The 18,610-nt window shown below is 35.5% G+C and overlaps 1 long non-coding RNA gene across 1 annotated transcript in view; it reads right to left on the bottom strand.

Annotated features, from left to right (window-relative positions):
* Positions 1–18,610, bottom strand: part of LOC124904475 (uncharacterized) — a 765,263-nt gene that overhangs the window by 321,256 nt on the left and 425,397 nt on the right. Inside the window, exon 4 of the long non-coding RNA XR_007066777.1 lies at positions 11,875–11,971. This is a non-coding gene — a long non-coding RNA (uncharacterized LOC124904475). The remainder of the gene's footprint in view (positions 1–11,874; positions 11,972–18,610) is intronic.

The following is an 18,610-nucleotide window of genomic DNA, read 5'->3' as shown; positions in this document are numbered from 1 at the left end:
ACAAGGTATTTAATATTTCATGCTTTATTATACGACATTTTAAAAAGATATTCTTTTTTAAAGCACAAATTACCTGAATTCTTTCAACACAATTATTTTTTAAAGATGGAAAGTTATAATACTAAATGGGAAATACTTAGAGCAAGATCACCAATGAGAAAATGCAGTAACAAAGAAAATAACCTATTAATTGTGCTACAAACTCATGTTTTCACATGTGATAATATATTGCTATATAGAGAGACACAATTTTCTGACATAATGAACCTCCAGTTTATGAAGATACAAAAAGATACTTTGGTAATCAATATAATTTTAACAAACTATCAAATCTAGAGTATTTGTAATAAATGGAATGTCCTGATTAAATGTTGAAGAGATTTGGAGGTGAAGGAAGAAAAGAAGGGAGAGAAAGCAGAAACAGTAGCCTTCTGAATTCCAAAATCACTAGAAATGGATTTTTAGTTACCTCTGATTTTTCTGCTCTCCATCCAGATATATTTTAATGCATTCTCATGTAAATAGAAGAGTCTCCCAGGGCACGAATATGTTGTAACAAGTTGAATAAAACTCTTTCAGTTCATTCTTTCTCCAATACGCAATGCACTTAGATGAAATATCTTTTACATCTCCCAGAAAAAAATCTGATATTCAGTGATTTGTAAAGTGAGACTTGAACTTTTTTTAAAGCATATTGTTTCCCCTTGTCTTTTATCCTGACACACAGTCTGAAGTTTTTGTCTTTTCTGATAAAAGCAGAATTATAGACTCATTTGAAATTTTCTTTAACTTTCATTATACTCCATTTTAGGCAAAACTACTCCTGCACTTTGTAGAGTTGAGTATAGAGGTAGCACTTTACACACCAACTAAGAACAGTATATTTTTCAGAGACTGAATTTTTTTTTTTTTGCTGCTGAAATCCCTAATGGGTCAAAAAACATAAGAAAACATATCTATATGTTTCAGGAACTGAGAATCTTAAATTGATTAGGAAAGTGTATCCCTATCCAAATATATTAACTATAAATTTAGTCCCTACTCAATCATGGCTCTTACGTAAATAACACAATAGTATTATTAGGGGACAGAAAAATACTTTGTAGGATTTCCAGTATAAATGTCTTCATCCAACATTGCATCTCAAGGAGACATGTCAGGAAACACTCAATTACATACTCTAGTTATAAACTTCACGTGAAGTTTTTAAATTTTGGGTAAGTAGATCGAATACATCCAACTTTATAAAATTTTCAAAATCTGAGTTCAAGTTTTATAAAGGGATTTTAATAGACTAATAGTTTGCCTATTGTCTTCATCATTTAATTTCTAAAATATTCAAAAAGCTGCCTTGGCCATTATTTTTTGGTTTCTTTTCTCTACAATGCCAGTGATGGTATGGTTTTCCTTACACAAGGATAAAAAAGTAGAATGGTGACTAAGCAACATAGTGTAATATTAGAAGCACTGACTCCAGAAGAGTTTTTCTTTCTCCAGGACTAAATTCTCTCTTTTAGAGTAACACTTTTAAATTGCATAAGAAATATTATGCTCTTATGTCTTGAAACCCAATACTAACTTTAGTTAAGACGATAATCTAAAAGGCCTTATCAATTCCCTTATGGTCACTATATTCCAGGCAGTACATTGTTGCTAGAAAAAAAAAAAAAAAAAAAAAAAATATATATATATATATATATATATAAAAGAAATTATCCTAATCTCAAATGTAAAAGGATTTATTTGAATTAACAAAATTAGTACTTTATATGACATGAGTTATCTGATTCTAAGTGAATGGGAGTAAGGATGTAGAGAACACAAGCAGGAAAATACAAGGGGTCACTTTGGCAGACTATAATTTTTACTATTGAATCCAATCCCAGCAGATCATAATTACTCTCCATTTTGAATTATTCACTCTAACTATTTTAAGCAGAAAGTTATGTAACACTGGATATTACCTGACTATAAAGTTATTGGAGGAACAGAAAAACCAGGCTCAAGGCAAATCCCTAATTTCTTTTTCTGATTTAACTTATTACAAAATGTGAATTGAGTCACTTTTTTCTCTAGGGTCCCTCACCCTCAACACACATATAGTATGATTGATGATTGTATAAATTATGAACATGTAAGCCTTACTAAGTCAAGTTTCCAAGTAGAGGACAAAGCAATGTCTCAAAGAGTACAGAATAAAAGAACCTCTCCGGCAGAGAAATCTTTCTAAAACAATAATTCACTTATAATTATTGAATATGTATGTATTTACTTGACATTATTAAATGGTGAACACTGAGAATGCAAAGACCAAAGGCACAATCCATGAACTCAAGGAATTCAGTGTCTCTTGAAGGAGAGAGATAAGAAATTCAGTAATTCTACTGAAGTGTAATAAATGCTATAAAAGATGCCATCACAAGTTATTAAAATGATACAGAAAAGACATCTTTATTACTATGCATGTCCTTGCTTACATATTTTCCTTGCCTTTCAGCAATCCAACTGATACTGAATTACCTGAACTTGACTTTCTCTCATACAGGCATAATTTCCTATGATAACCATTTCCTACCAGTCACTAAATCTCACCTAGCCTTGCTTTCTTGCTTTGACCTACACTGATCCAATTGTATAAAACAATGACAGCCTTCATCTGTTCAACAAGTCTTTTTTCACTGCCTTGGAATACAGCAGCGACCAGACTGTGAACTTGAGGATAAGAAGGCAGCCGAGGAAAAAAGGTCTACATGGGGCAGTCTACAATAAGTGGGTATTACCAGGGGACATCAACTGTGCAGAAGGGGACTAGATGGCCTAAGGAGAGTATTGCCAGGAGCAGATATCTAGAAGGAGGGGAAAGTTTGTCATGATAGAACCTTGTTTACTTTGAAATTTACCCCAATTATGTGTTATTATATTGTTGATTAACATGTTAATATTTTTAAACTACAAGACTGTTTATACAACATCGTCAGCTTCCTGCAGTATATTTTGAGTGGCAAGAGCATTTCTCACTAATTCCACTTGCTAAAATTCCCACTAAAATTACTATTTAATTGGAAATGTTATCTGAGAAATAACACATTATCAAATAATTATCTTTATTTGTCCAGTCATTAAATCACCTCAAATGATCACAGGGAAATGATCACAGGGACTGGAGGAAACTGCCAGTACATGGAGACGATCCTCAACAGGGATTTGAGAGAGAGAGAGAGAGGAGCAAAATGCATAATGGAAGAGTTGGAGCTTAAGCACTTGAAGTTTGAAAGCTCTGGAGCTATGCAAAAACAGAGAGGAGAAGGATATTTTCAGCCACAAAATAATTTGAGATTCAATTGCTATGTAACACATTACTATCATTTCATAAATAGGTTCAGATAAGAGCCAGCTCATAAAGCATTAGCAGAATGATTTTGCACATAGTGAGCACTTTTTTAAGAAGTCTAATTCATTAACATATCTTCTTTCCACTGCTCTTTTCTTCCTTTGCCCTTTCCATTGATGGAAATGTATTCAAAGGAAATAAACTTCTAATAACCAATATAATTTTCAAGATAAATACCAGAGCTCAAAATGCTTTCCCTTTTATTTAAGCTACTTTTCCAGCTTTAATTATAAATGTGTATTGTTCTCCCAACATTCCTCCTACAAAGACCTAGGTTAGATTTCAAGTTCAGAATACTTGCAGAATTCTTTAACATATGAAAAATACTTGTATAAGAAGTTGTTTACTGCTTCAAATTTAATTTTAGCTTCTATGGTAATATCAGTAATTAGCTATGTGAAGTGCTACTAAGTGCAGCAAGCTTGTTATAAATATTTCCTAAAGGATAGAAACAGAAATACTAAAATGAATTATTCAAGCCAAGAATTACAAAGAGAGGGCCTTTTCTTGCTGATCACCAGTGGGTAAAAGCATATTCATCTCAGTTTATAAAAAAAAAAAAAGTTTCTTGATATTAGCTTCAGAATTGTTCTAAATGTTAAAAGAATAAAAATAAGAAAATAAATAATTTGATGCAAATATTCCTTAAATTTTTCTGTAGGAAGCTGAACTAAAAATCAAGATATAAAATCATTTATGGGATATATCTGACAAAGATAAACCTTTAGGACCAGAATTCTCTGACAAAAAAAAAAAAGCATGAATTTCAGTTTGCAAAAAGCCCCTGAGGTGTGAAATGTGTCTTTCTCCCAGAAGCCTCTATTTCACTAGTGCAGAGCTCAATCAGTATTATATATCCTGCATCCCCTCACGTAAAACAATAAAATGTGTGCGTGTTTGCTACTTAAAAATTATCCAGCCATGACTACATTAATTGTGAAGCTTTGGTGACTCTATTTTCACTTTGAGTATTTTCTTAAATTATCAGCTCAGGTGTTTTCATTTGGCAGTTTCTTATTAGTCATATACTTAGCCATAAATCAATGGGAAATACTACTTTAGGAGGGAAAATGGCATCAATATCTCACATATATACTCAGCAGCCAGTTGACAGATGTGGTAATTTCATCACTATTTACTGTAAATTCTTCTGCAACAGACAAAATAAATTTGTTTTCTCCATTCGGTATAATTTAGTTTTATAAGAATGTAGTCTTATGAAATATCAAAGAATACTTTATGGCTAAAGGTACAAGGAAAGTAAACTTTTCCTCATTTGGGTGTATTAACTCTCATGCAACAAAGTAAAGAACAGACAAGAGTTTATAATCAAGAAAAGAGTGAAAGAGAGAAATATTCAGGTTCATGAATTATACCAAACTGTTGATTAAGAAGAAAAAACCTCACCTATTATGCCTTTCCATTATATGATAAAATATGATGTAGTACAATGAAAATAATCTTGCTGACCAGAAAGCCTAGGTTTGGAGAGTGGCTCTACCATTTGCTACTTAGAAGGCCTTGGGAAAGTCATATCACTTCAATGGGATTAAGTTTCATTATTTGCAAAATATTAAAGTATCTATATTTTAAAGAAATTTGTTTTATGTTTTGAAGATATTATAAAGCTTAAATGATTACCTATCCCCACAACCTGACACATAATTGGCTCTCTATAAAACATGTAAATATGAATATTACACATTTAACCTTTCATGATTTTATTTCACTTCTTCCTTTTGATTTAAGTAACTCACCTCACTGCCTATGCACTTAAGGTTAATAAATACTGGAAACAAATTGGACCCTAATTATGTTCATGTCATCTCTGATTATTTTTTCCTAAGAGGTCTCTAGTGAAATAGTCACTTATTTCTGTCAATTAGCTTAGATCTTAAACATATAATGTTTATTATTTATGTACACACTTTTGTAAACTTTGGCAATTATTTAGACTCACAAAATGACATTTCATAATGGAAGGCATAAATATTCATTTAAGCAAAACAATAGTAACTTAATAAATATTCTAATAGCTGCCACCATTAATGGATATTAGCCAAGATATTGAGCTATAATAGATAATATATCTGAGGACGAAGAAGAGGAGATAAGGAGGGAATAAAACAAAGTCAGGAATTATGCATAAGATTATGCTAGGAGATCATTTCCAGGATGAAGATATTTAATAGAGAATATGTAATTAATAGTACTCTTTAATTATTGTAAGGATCTTCATATGATGTTAAGGGAACAATGGATTTAGAACTAGAATATTAATTTGAGTTCAATACATTCTACTATCAGCATGTAAACTTATCAATTATTTTATTATTTTACAACTTAATTTTGTATCATATATAAAGTGGAAATAATTGTCCTTTGAGCCTCATAGAGTTGTAACAAAATTTGAGATAATGTATATTAGGGCTTTATAAAAATGGTTTACAAATAGTAAGCAGTATATAACTATAACTAATTATATTGGTAGCAGTGATGCTAAAAATTTTTCACGAGGTAAAGTCTTTTGTCACTTGCTAGTGGACTGACAAGCAGAAGCACTATCTAATGAAAGAAGAATAAACACAGTCTGAAAGACCCTTTCACTAATATTATTCTGGTCAAGTCTTGTCATTTCATTTGCTCCTGTGTAAGTTAGATATTATTATCATTATTCAATAAGGTTGTAAATTGTAATTAAAATACCACTCATTAATGGTCTAGCAGAGTAAAAAGCATATATAACATTCTCTTTCTATCCTCCCATTTTTACTATTCAATTCTAAAACCTGCACCAACCTCAAGCAAAATGATGACGTGCTTTGCCTTCAGTGACCCAAATCTTTCTCCATCCCAGATGAACAACCTATCCTGAGACCTCTAGATCTTGACCCTTTGGTAATCACTCAGCCTCTCTGCATTCAAGAGTCTGTTCAGTCATCACTCAACATTTATGGAACGCCCATTATGAGCCAAACACAGAAATGCTTAAAATATCTCTTGCCCTTGATGTGCTCCCAACAAAATCATAGAAATACCTAAGTGTTCTAGGTAAAGAGGAGAGTCAAGTCAAAGCTAGAAGATCTCTAGGGAAAGATATTAGAGTATAGCACCACTCATACAAAATCAAACCTTTTCTAATCCACTTCTCTAGTCATAACAACCAAATAACTCTCCAGCTTATTTTTTTTACACTTCTGAGGTTTTAAGTATGTATTTGGTCATATTTTGACCAAATATATTCCTGCTGTTAGAAAAAATCGGTTCAGATCCCACTAAGCAAGTGAAAAGTACTGGTAGAAAAATTAAAAATCATATTTAAATATTTGTTTGTGATAATCAATGTAGTTCTTCTTAGTCATCAGAAAGAGGGGAAATGTCTAGCAGGGAAAAATACTAATATTGATAATGTGCTGTGGGGACAGATTTTGATAATTTAAATTATGTAATAGTGTGATGAACTTACTGAAGTTAGAAAAATACTCATTTCACTTTTTTATAATTGGGAAACAGGTAAAAAGAATTTTTTATATAAGTATTTTAAACAAATTTTAGTCATTGTCAACATTTCAATAGCTCTGGTTTTAAATTTTGCTACCTATTTAAATGGCAAATTTCAGAAAACTTTTCCAATAAGTGAGAGAAACATAGAAAAGGGAACATTTGAGTGTGAATTTCCCTAGGACTTATTACACTAGAAAGGCTGCACATTAATGAGTAAAATGTGAGGAATTAGGGGTGGATCTCAAGTGACAGAATGATTTAAGAGAATACTAAGCTGCTTTAAAGCTTCATATACTGAATAATGGCAAAACATAGGAGCTGGGAATTTCAAGGGAACTAATCTAGGGTCATGTGAAGAAAATGTCAGCATAATAGGACACATAAAGAGCTAATTTCTCATCTTCAATTAAAAAAATGATTACCATCGAATTCAAACTCTGGTATAGACTTATTAAAGGCCTATTATGTTAATTCCTTGTATTAATGAATTTTATATTTTTATTTAGCTGATATAAAAAAATAAAGCCTCAAGAGAATATTAGCAGACTTTGGACCAAGCCTATTAAGGAAAGACTTAAATACAATATTTTATAATATAAACTTTTAAAAAATATATTATCCTTATTTGTGTGTCTATAGATACTGAGAGAAAAATATATATGAACCCATGTAGCTTACTTAGCATATACATATAAATACAAAAGTTAAAAACAGGATTTATTATCAATACTATTACTATAAAAATATTTAGCTTAATTCTGAAAGAATTTTGAAATAAGAATAATATATTTCCCACATAAATCCTTTCATATAATGTGTTCATTCCTTTCCTGGTTTTATTACTGATAGAGCATGTAAAATGAAAATATACATTATTCTCTCATTTCACTCTTTATTACAAACAAATTATAGTATATGATTTTGTTTCAAATATAGTTTCATATAACTGAAACTATAAACATAGCAAGGAAAGACAGAATATAACAATATAACAGTGTTAAGATATATAGCTTAATACAGATGCAGTTTTTAAAAATTACTCTTTTGGTATCTGTAGCTGCAGGGATTCTTTTGTTTGCTTGCTTGCTTCTTTCACTTTTCTCCTTTATTTCTTTGCTTTCTCTTCACTCCAATAAGTTCTTCCAAGATAAAAATATTGGTAGTAGGCATCCTTTTTCAGTTATGATTGTTTACAGAATTCAAGAATGATTCTGTCTTTATTTTCCTAAGTGAAATTCACCTCAGCAGCAAAAATTCGTGTGTTTTTAGATATAAAAGTAAAAAGCCCATTTAGAATTTAAAAAGAAAAATCCAAGTCTCAATGGATTATATACTTTTTTTAATTTTGAAGCCCATTCCTCAATTTAAAGATTTTCTCCTTCGTCTCCAAGTAGAGAGGTGAAGTTTACAGACCATCACTCATGCAGGTAAGTAGCAGTGACTATGGAGCTCATGTCATTTTTAGTTGTTTCGAAGTGGCCAATCATAACACTTATACTCTCTTTTCTTGATATCCGGTGTTGGAACTAACAGATGGCAATCATTTGTGTAATCACACCTTTAGACTTCTCATAGATACCTTCAAAAGAGCCATCACTCTGATGTTCTAACTGTGCTCATGCATACATGCTCACATCTGATCTGTCTACCATTTTACTTCTACCAACTTACTTCTTCCTCATTACTGGGCACACAGAAATGTTTATGTCTAATCTATGCCCTTCTCAGGGTCCAAGGAAACTTCTAGGAGAATTATGCTTCCAATCTACTTGTTCTTTCCCTTATATTAGGGTTGCTGAACACATAATAAAGCTTCTGTTTTCAAACTCTAGCCAGAAAACAAAATCCCAGGGTATTGTACTCTTTCAGTCCCTGCAACTTAAATGAATTCTTTTTTTCTTTCTATTACTGAAACATCATAGATTTGGTCTAGATCCTGCTGCTTGCTACACAGAAAGCCAATCACTGAAACAAGTACTGCCAGGGAGGAAGGTTTTATTCAGGTGCTGCAGCCCAGGAGATGGGAGTTCAGTCTCAAATTCATCTCCCTGACTGACTAAAATTACGGCATTATATGACAGAAATGTAACTACATGTAGAAAAACAAGAATTAGGAAAGGGTAAGAAAGATAATTTGGTCAACACAAAGCAGGTGGTCAGATAGGTAATCATGATGGGTGAAGGGTCTAGCATCTTATTGTCCAGATGCAGTGACCTAGTAAACTTCAATTCCATGATACTATCTAGAAGGCCTGAAGGTTGGTTTCCTGAGAAAGAAACTTTAATAAAACAAAGGAACTTTCTCAAGTTTCAAGACTGGGAGAATCCATTTCTATGTGTATTCAACAGAAGCTATAAAGCTAAGTTCTGTGGGACAATTAGGTCAGTTTCAATTCACCCCTACCTTTCTATTTTTCAACTCCTCAATCATGAGGAATCCACCTGGCAATCTTTTAGCTGCTTCATGCTGAGGAGGGGTGTTGTGGGCAGCTCCATGCCATGGCTGTCCACGTGGCTACCCAGGAAACAAAGGTTAATCTACTACTATAGTTTCCTTTTGAAACACAATCTTTCTCTCTCCAGTATCCTACTGCCACCAAAGACAAATCACAAGACCAGCCCACCTGCCAAATAAGCTTTAGTCCCATATACTTGGCCTGATTACCTATACAATCTGCAACAAGAATCATTGTCCATATAGGTTCTCCTAAATTGTCTTTGCTGGAACCTCTCACAAGGCCATTTCAGTTAAAGCCTTAGGAAGAAAACCAGTTCCCCAACTGCATCCCATAGGTTCTTATTAAACATATGTGAACAAGCACATTGCCATGAATTAATAATATTCATAAATAGTTTACAAATTCTAGATATTAGGCAGAGGGAAAGAGAAATAGGCCTCAACTTCTGTTTACAAGAGTATACTCTACTCAATCATTAAAGTCTATAAATAGCTCAAAAGAAAAACATGATCCAGCCTCTGAGAAACAAAGCAAAAAGAATCAGCAACATTTCAAACAAGAAAAAAGCCATAAAAATTATTTCAGTTATTCATTAGTTCAGTCCATGCAATCAACTTCTGCTCTGCTTCATATTTTATTAGGAATCTTTATAAACACATCAGCCGTTCAATTAGAGTCCTGAAAGTTTTCCCTCTAATCTCATGGCACAACATTTAGGGTTATCAGAAACCTGCATTCTAGAGACCTTTTCATGAACTCCCCTGAAGAAGGAAGCCCTGGGCTGCAGATGATTATAAGTCACTTTTTGAGAAGAATCAACAGAAAAGAATAATTGTGGATGATAAAAGTCCTAGGACAGTTATAAGTAAAGATGCAGTTGTGTATTAGTTCATTCTCACAATGCTATAAAGATACAACCAGAGAGTGGGTAATTTATAAAGGAAAGAGGTTTAATTGACTCACAGTTCTGCATGGCTGGGGAGGCCTCAGGAAACTTAATCGTGGCGGAAGGGGAAGAGGCACATTTTACATGGCAGCAGGTGAGAGAGCGCAAGTGTGTGTCACCACAGGAAAAACTAACATTTATAAAACCATCAGATCTCGCCGGGCGCGGTAGCTCAAGCCTGTAATCCCAGCACTTTGGGAGGCCGAGGCGGGCGGATCACAAGGTCAGGAGATCAAGACCATCCTGGCTAACGCGGTGAAATCCCGTCTCTACTAAAAATACAAAAAATTAGCTGGGCGTGGTGGCGGGCACCTGTAGTCCCAGCTACTCGGGAGGCTGAGGCAGGAGAATGGTGTGAACCTGGGAGGCAGAGCTTGCAGTGAGCTGAGATTGTGCCACTGCACTCAAGCCTGGGCGACAGAGCGAGACTCCGTCTCAAAAAAAAAAAAAAAAAAACCATCAGATCTCATGAGAATTCACTTACTACCACGAGAACAGCATGAGGGAAACCACCTCCACGATCCGACCAATTCCCACCAGGTCTCTCCCTAAACACCTGGGATTACAATTCAAGATGAGATTTGAGTGGGGACACAAAGCCTAAGCATATCAAGTTGACAAGAAAATTTGGTTGTTTCTGTGACATACAATAATTTAACATAATAATCATAATCATTACTGACAACATACATTAAGACATATCAGAATTTCAGAAATGTCATAAAATCCTGGAACACATACAGAAATATAACCCAAAGAATGTTAAAGACCACCTCACATTTTACAATGCTTTCTTTGGAGTTCTAACATACCAGATAAGCATAATATATCTCTCTTGGACTTTGGGGGATGGCAATACCCATAAAAGTTAGTTTGAGGTCAAAAAGACTGAATTTAGAACTCAAAATTTTGCTGTTGAAAATTCTGGCAAAAATCAAGGGTTTAAGGCATTTGATATCACCAAATAGGATCACAGGTTACTATAAGTCATTCATTTAGCCAAAATGATAAAACAGAAACGTTTACACTTTTATAGAGAGGAAACTCAGTTTCGTTAATAAAGACAGCATGAGGCCTATTGAATTTGTCTCTCCCTCTCCCTCTTCTTTTTCTTCTGTATTTTTACTCATAAGATAAAGAAAAATCTTTTATTATCACTTACATTAAAATTTTGTTCAAAAAAAAATTGTCCTTTGTATGTATGTTATTAATGTGAAAGCTAATTTTAATAAAACCTATAAACAAATCTATCTAATTTTAATCAGTTTGACCATAAGGTACAATTTTCATAAACCTTTATTACCTTTTACAATTTTCTTTTAAAGAACAAATAAATGCTCTAAGAAAACCCTGTTATTTCAACACACGAGCCTAGATGCTGGCCTTTCATCAGTGTGCTTTTGATATTAACTTTTAATTTATAAAAAAACCTCTCAACTAATCTTATCCCTTAAAATCGGCCCTTACAATTTCATGAACCCACCTCTTCTGCTATAGTCTCTGGGCCTAGGGGGATTGAATAGTTTTATTCTCTAGCACTATGTCTTAGTAAAGTAGTTTATTTTAATCATCACCTTTTTCAGAGTCTGAAGATAAGGCTTCAATGTGTCAATTCTCAAGATTTAGCAGGAGTTGGTTCCTTTTTCAGATGCTAGAGTGAAAGCTCTGTAACTAAACAACAAAAGGATTTGTTAATAGGATATTTAGACTGCAAAATCCTATCATTCTCTCTAACATGTCACGAATGAAAAAGCTGACTTGGTGTCTAGTAGATACTGCCTGCAGCACTTCAATTCAAACCACTGTATTAAAGTTACTCACTGCATATGTCTAATTGCTAGCATTCTAATGACAGAACTGCAACCAAAAGCATCAAAAATGTGATAGGTCCTGTGCCAAACTTTTCAGAGAAAAACAACTAACTTTTTTCTCCATCAACAAAAAAAATGTTAAATGCAAGTATCAGTTTTGGAAACTCAGTATGAAGATAAACAATTTTCTTTCACTTACTTAAATTATATACAACAAAACAAGGACAAAGTAAAACAAGCACACAATAATTTAAGCTATTTAAAAGAGCACCATCACATATTTCTAAGACTGGTTCTTAGATACAATACTGAAAACTGATTAGATAACTTCTGCCACTAGAATCTTCAAACCAGTGCAATACTTGTGCATATTTTGTTTTCAAGTACACACATGAAGGCCCATGAGCAATAAATGGCTTAGGATGAAAAATTAATGGCAGCGGCTGCTACCATCTTGCCGGCTGCAGCAGCGAAGTGCATCTGGGACCGCACACTCCATGGAGCCAGTGGGAGTCCTGCCCCTTCTGAGTTGGGATAGGAGCTCTGTGAGCCGCTACAGTCACCCAAAATGCAACAGCAGACCCAGGCCTCCTGCTCTATAGAGCAAGTAGGAGCCCTGCCTTCCCGGGAGGACTACGGCCTTCCAAACTGCAGCTATGGATCCTTGCCTCCTTGTGCTCTTGGAGGAGCTGGGAACAGATAGGATCTACCTTCCTGGGTGCAGCTGCAGCCCTACTCCCCCTGGCTGCAGACCTGGGCCTCCCACTCCAGGAAGCAGGCAAGAGCTTGGGACAAGCGGGAGCCCAGCCCCTTCCGAGATGGCAGGGCAAGAGCTCCCAGATGCAGCTGTGGCCACCCTCCCAGGCACAGAACCGCAGCGTCTCTGCAGCCTGCACCCTCAGGGGCCTCAGGAAGGACTCCCCCAGTCCCTGCATGTTTGGCGGTGTCTGCTCCCACTGCCTGGCCTCTCTCCACTCCTGGTGCCTGCTCTGATCTTGAGCAGGAGTTGGGGCCAAGCCCTGGGGCCATGAATGGCAGCTCTGGAGGCAGATGGATTTCTGGGCGGAAGCTGGCCAGTAAGTCCCCACCTTCATGTCAGAGAGGGCCTGAAGGCTGGGGGCTGGGCTGCCAGTCCTACAGATGGGAGGGGGGCCCATGGTGCCTCTTCTGGCCATCCGTGGCTGGCCACGGACCAATCACAAGCACTTCTTCCCCTCTGAGGTCTATAAAAGCCCTGGGCTCAGTCAAAGCAGGGCAGGGGATGGCCAGAGGATGAAGAAGGCAGAGAGAGAATGGGATAGAAGACCAACTGCAGAGACGGGTACCCTCCTGCTGATAGCTGGAGACGATGAGACGACCAGCTTACTGTCTCCATTGAGAGCTGCAGAGACAACCTGCTGGCAGAAAGGGTCTAACTTCTTGGCTGAAAGCTTGAGACCTGCAGAAACGTCTGAATGACTTGCCTGCAGAGAGGAGCCACCCTCTACAGGGCCTCCTCTCTGCTGACAGCTGAACACTCCACAGGATGGCTTGCCTACAGAGAGGAGCTACGCACTCTTCTTAGCTGTTCTAACACTAAATAAAACTCTTCTTCTTCACCCATCACTTGTCTGCATACCTCATTCCTCCTGGATGCAGGACAAGAACTTGGGCAACGGTGCCATGGCCACAGAGGTTTCTGGCCAGAAAAATAGACACCCTAGAGATCTTGAAACAAAATCACTAGAAAGTCTCACAATTTTTATTACGACTTCATCCAAATGAATGTAACTTAATTTTAATAACAAACACAACTAAATTATTTGAAAGAAATTCCAATTAATATAATTTTCTTAAGGACAAAGCTAATCTTTCCTGAACACTAAAACACTGTACCCATATCACAGTTGTTCCTCATTACCTAAAGGAAAAGGTCTGAAAGCAACTTAAATTATTAATTGAGTTGAATTGCCTTGGAAATAAACACTATATAAAAATTTTTTATTCTCACCTACTTTTCCAAATGAGAAAATATATACTGTACTATTTTTGCTCAGAGCTTATAAAAATAAGTATTTTATTTATTTATTTATTTATTTTTTGCCAGGAACCTTAAAGCTCTTGCAGCTCTGTTGATCATCCGGGGTAAGCAAAACCCATCAAATTTTAAATGGCTGGTGTGTTCTATAAGTTTTTGCAGGCTTAACAGTGGTATCTTAGGAACTTTAGATAAATAGAGCAAATGATGAAATTTTGGAAATGCATATGAAACAGAATGACTCTTTATAGAACTAAATACAAGCCTTCCACGAGAAACTTAAAAACATCAATGGTTTTATATATGTATATATAAGTAAAACTCAGGAGAGAACAAATGGCAAATAAATGAAAATTAGAAGCAAAAACAACAAACAAGAAACAAAACCTCAAATATTCTCCTACTCAGTTTACCTTGGAGGCTACAGTGTTACTCAGAGCCTAAAAAGCTTATGATAGATATTTCATTCATAGTATACAAATTAATGTCTTTAAGTCCACCAATACCACTATACATTCTGGGGAATTAAGAAATTCACCGTAGTCACATGATCACTAAGCACTTTAGTGCAAGTACAATCTATGCAGAATAGCAAATATAGTGTGAAGCAGTGCAAGCATGTCTGTGAAATTTGGCTCCATGTTAAATCTGGCCTCATGCTTAACTGTATTAAAATAGAATTGCAAAACTGCCAATGTATTTCTTTACAATATTTCTTATTTTACCCTCATGAAAACTAAGGGCTTTAACTATGAGCAATGTTAATTAGGCAAATTTCTCTAATTTTCTATCAGGTTTTAAAAACCATTTTACTACCTAAGCCTTTTCAACTTTCTATTTTCTCTCTGTGTGCATGAAGACAGACATACAGAGAAAAGGGGAAAAATATTACATATGACTTACACAAATATCTATAACATGCTTGCACTTTCTCTTTTGTCCTATATTTTCTTTTTTTTAAAAAAAATAGCCAGTCATTTTACCTTAGGACAAAATGTTACCGTAGTCCATAATTTGGATCAACTGTTAGGTAACTTCTGAATTGGATAAAATTATTTTTTTCTCAATAAGAACATATCTTCTTTGGCACACTTTACATACAGAATTATATATTAACTAGAATTCTTATTTTTAATAATCTTAAATTTCAATGAAAACCTAAGAAGCAAAAAATTCTTAACAATCAGATATTAGCATTTGATAGATGAGAACTTTCCACAATTTTTAGAAACATATTTCCCCATATCATAACCCTATCTTAATTGGAAATGACTCAGACATCCAAGAAGCATCAAAAATAATTTTAAGATTTTAAGTTACACACAGTTTACCTACAACATCTATTCCCATTGGAAAGTACTCAATGGGAATTCTTTGAGTACTTTTCAAAAGTACTCAAAGTACTTTTGAAAAATGAATTTCAAAAGTACTTTTAAAAAATGAATTCTTTCATTTTTTTAGTTTATCTAGATTACTTCTGAAAATAGAGATATTAGACACAGCTAGTCATTATGTAAAGTTATTTCCTTGTTAACTATTTTTACAGCCAGGAGTATGAGGTACTCACCTAAGTAAGAACCTTAAGTTAAATGCTAGGTATTTTTTTGCTAATAACTCAGAAGAGTCAGCTGTTTTTGTTAAACTAACAACATTAAATTAGTCTCATTAATCAGAATAAAATACTACAAAGATCATTTTCTTTTGACTGGGATTATAATTTTATTACCTTCTATGCCAAAACCTGACACCTCGAATATCTAGCAGAGACAAATATAAAACCCAAATAAAAATGTATTCTAACATTTCTGAAGACGTTCATATTTTTATCTTACCAACAATTTTAAAGACAGCTTGGTTATTAAAGATTGACTTAAGTCACATGAACTTGAAAAATATTTTATACTTGTTTACTCAATTTATGAGTGCTTTTTTATTCATAAGCCAATGTGGTAGACATAATATATAACATAATAAATGTACACACACATAAACACATATAAGCATGGACACACACACACACACACACCCCCCCCCCCCCACACACACACACACACACGAGATCCAATAGCTTTTTCTTTGGAACTCTAGCTGTGAGATACAGTTACAGTTCATAGACTGATACAAACTCACCAGTCTGTGAACATATTCACATGGCTAAACTTTGCCCCAATAAGTAACCCAGTGAAAGCTGTGAACCAAAATTTTGGGTAAAGCAGTTCCCACGGCATTTTGATTTTTAAAGGCCAAACCACTCCAGGCTCCAATGAACACTGGAGCCAAACAGTACCACAGGAGCACATCATGTAGTAACCAGGCCTGACCCTGTTCAGAACAGCAGCATAAAAGCTGGGATACATAAAACTCCACCCTGCTTTCCCATTCAACAGCAAAATGAGGTCCATGAAGAGGCCAAACCTCTCCAGATTCCAAAGAATATTGTGGTCAACAATACTACAAAGGAATATCAGCATATTGAATCCTGATTTCTCATAACTCTATCAACAAACACACAATCACCAAAATACAATCCAACTGCTGCAGCAACAAACAAGACCAAGAGTGTCCAAATTGGAACAGTTGGGGTGCTTCCTCTCTTCTTCGGTTGTACTCAATTAACCTGAAAATTCCTTTGGAATTTCCCAAATTGAGAGGAACCAATCCCTCTGTCTGGCACCCACAAAAGACAATCACTTGCTCAGATATACACACAACAATTACAAACAAGCCCCCAAGAGTGTCCAAACTGAAACAGTCAGGGTGCTTCCCTCTCTCACTCAGTTGGGCTTGTGTAATCTACAAATGGAAACTTCTTCAAAAACTTCCCAAATTGAGAGGAACAGATCCTGCTGTCTGGGCCCACATAGGACACTCACTTATCTGGAGGCAGATGTCAAATTTCAAAGGCTATTCTTCCTAGGAAATTAGGAACGTGTTTGAGGCCTACAGCAGTGAAACCAGAGAGAGACCGAAACTCACCTCCTACCAAAAAAGGTTCAGGCAGCTACTTAGGGGGGCTTCTAAAACTCTCCTTGACATGACAGTGGAGCAACAACGAATGCATTCCTGGTCAGGGGACCAAAGTCTGTTACCTAAACACCAGGGATTTGTTATAGGTCCTGCTGCTCACCAAAGCACCAGGGATTTGTTAAAGGTCCTGCTACTCCCTACATGGAAAGTCAATCACTGATACAGTGATTATCATCAGGGAAGAAGGCTTGAACCAGGTTGTTGCAGTCAAGAAGATGAGAGATCAGTCTGAAATCCATCTACCTGACTAAAATTAGGAGCTTATGTAGCAGAAATGTAACTACACACAGGCAAACAGGAATTAGGGAGGGGTAAAGAAGAGAAGTTGGTTCAACAGAAAAACAAGTGGTTAGTTAAGCAATCATGATCCATGAGAGGTCTGATGTCTAATTGTCCAGATACAGTTATCTAGTAAATTTCATTCACTTGATACTATGTGGGAAGACTGATTATTGGTTTCTTGAGAAGGAAACTCAGTATAGTTTTCTCAAGTTTCAAGACTGGGAGGATGAATTTCTATGCTTATTCAAAAAAAACTATAACATCAGTTCTATGGGACAAATAGGTCAGTTTCATTTCCTTTTCCTCACTTTCTTGCCAGCCCACTCCCAGCAATTACCAGAGACAAGGAAAGCAGTTAAGAGACCTCTTACATACTTGGCTTCTTCCAAACTTCTCTTCTTTCAGCCTGACTCAGTTATACCTTATCTTGTGTTGGGGGAGAAGGCACAGCTTTCATATAGTCCTCAATCTTTTTTATTTCACACTTGATTTTTTTCATACTTTTTTCGTAACTTTATTGAACTATAATTGAAGTGGACAATGTGACAAATTCTGACAGAGCTTTGCACGCATGAAACAACCAAGTGCTGGTGCCTTTCTAAATAATCCAATAATCGTCTAGTCTTTTTGTTTCATTGGTCAATGTGGGAGTCATTTATTGAAGGAAAATAGAATCCATCACCAAATGTCCCACATCTTTCAAACTATTAACTTTGTTTTGCTGTTTTGTTGTTGTTGTTTTGATTTTGGTTTTGGTTTTGGTTTGGAGACGGAGTCTCACTCATCATCCAAACTAGAGTGCAGTGGCACAATCTCAGCTCACTACAACCTCCGCCTCCCAGATTCAAGCGATTCTCATGCCTCAGCCTCCCCAGTAGCTGGGATTACAGGTGTGCACCAGCACGCCTGGCTAATTTTTGTATTTTTGTATTTTTAGTAGGGATGGGGGTTTCAGTATGTTGGCCAGGCTGGTCTCGAACACCTGACATCAGATGATCCACCCACCTCGGCCTCCCAAAGTGCTGGGATTACAGGCATGAGCCACCACAACTGGCCCAAACTATTAACTTTCAATTAGTCATTCTATCTAGACTGTGTGAAAAAATTTTCAGAAAATCAAGTAATAAACTCTTAAATCACTCTTGTCTTAACCTCTGGGCAAATAATAATTAA

This window comes from Homo sapiens, chromosome 1 (assembly GCF_000001405.40).
Source record: "Homo sapiens chromosome 1, GRCh38.p14 Primary Assembly".
NCBI classification, from domain to species: domain Eukaryota; kingdom Metazoa; phylum Chordata; class Mammalia; order Primates; family Hominidae; genus Homo; species Homo sapiens.
This window is presented reverse-complemented; position numbering and strand designations above follow the sequence as displayed.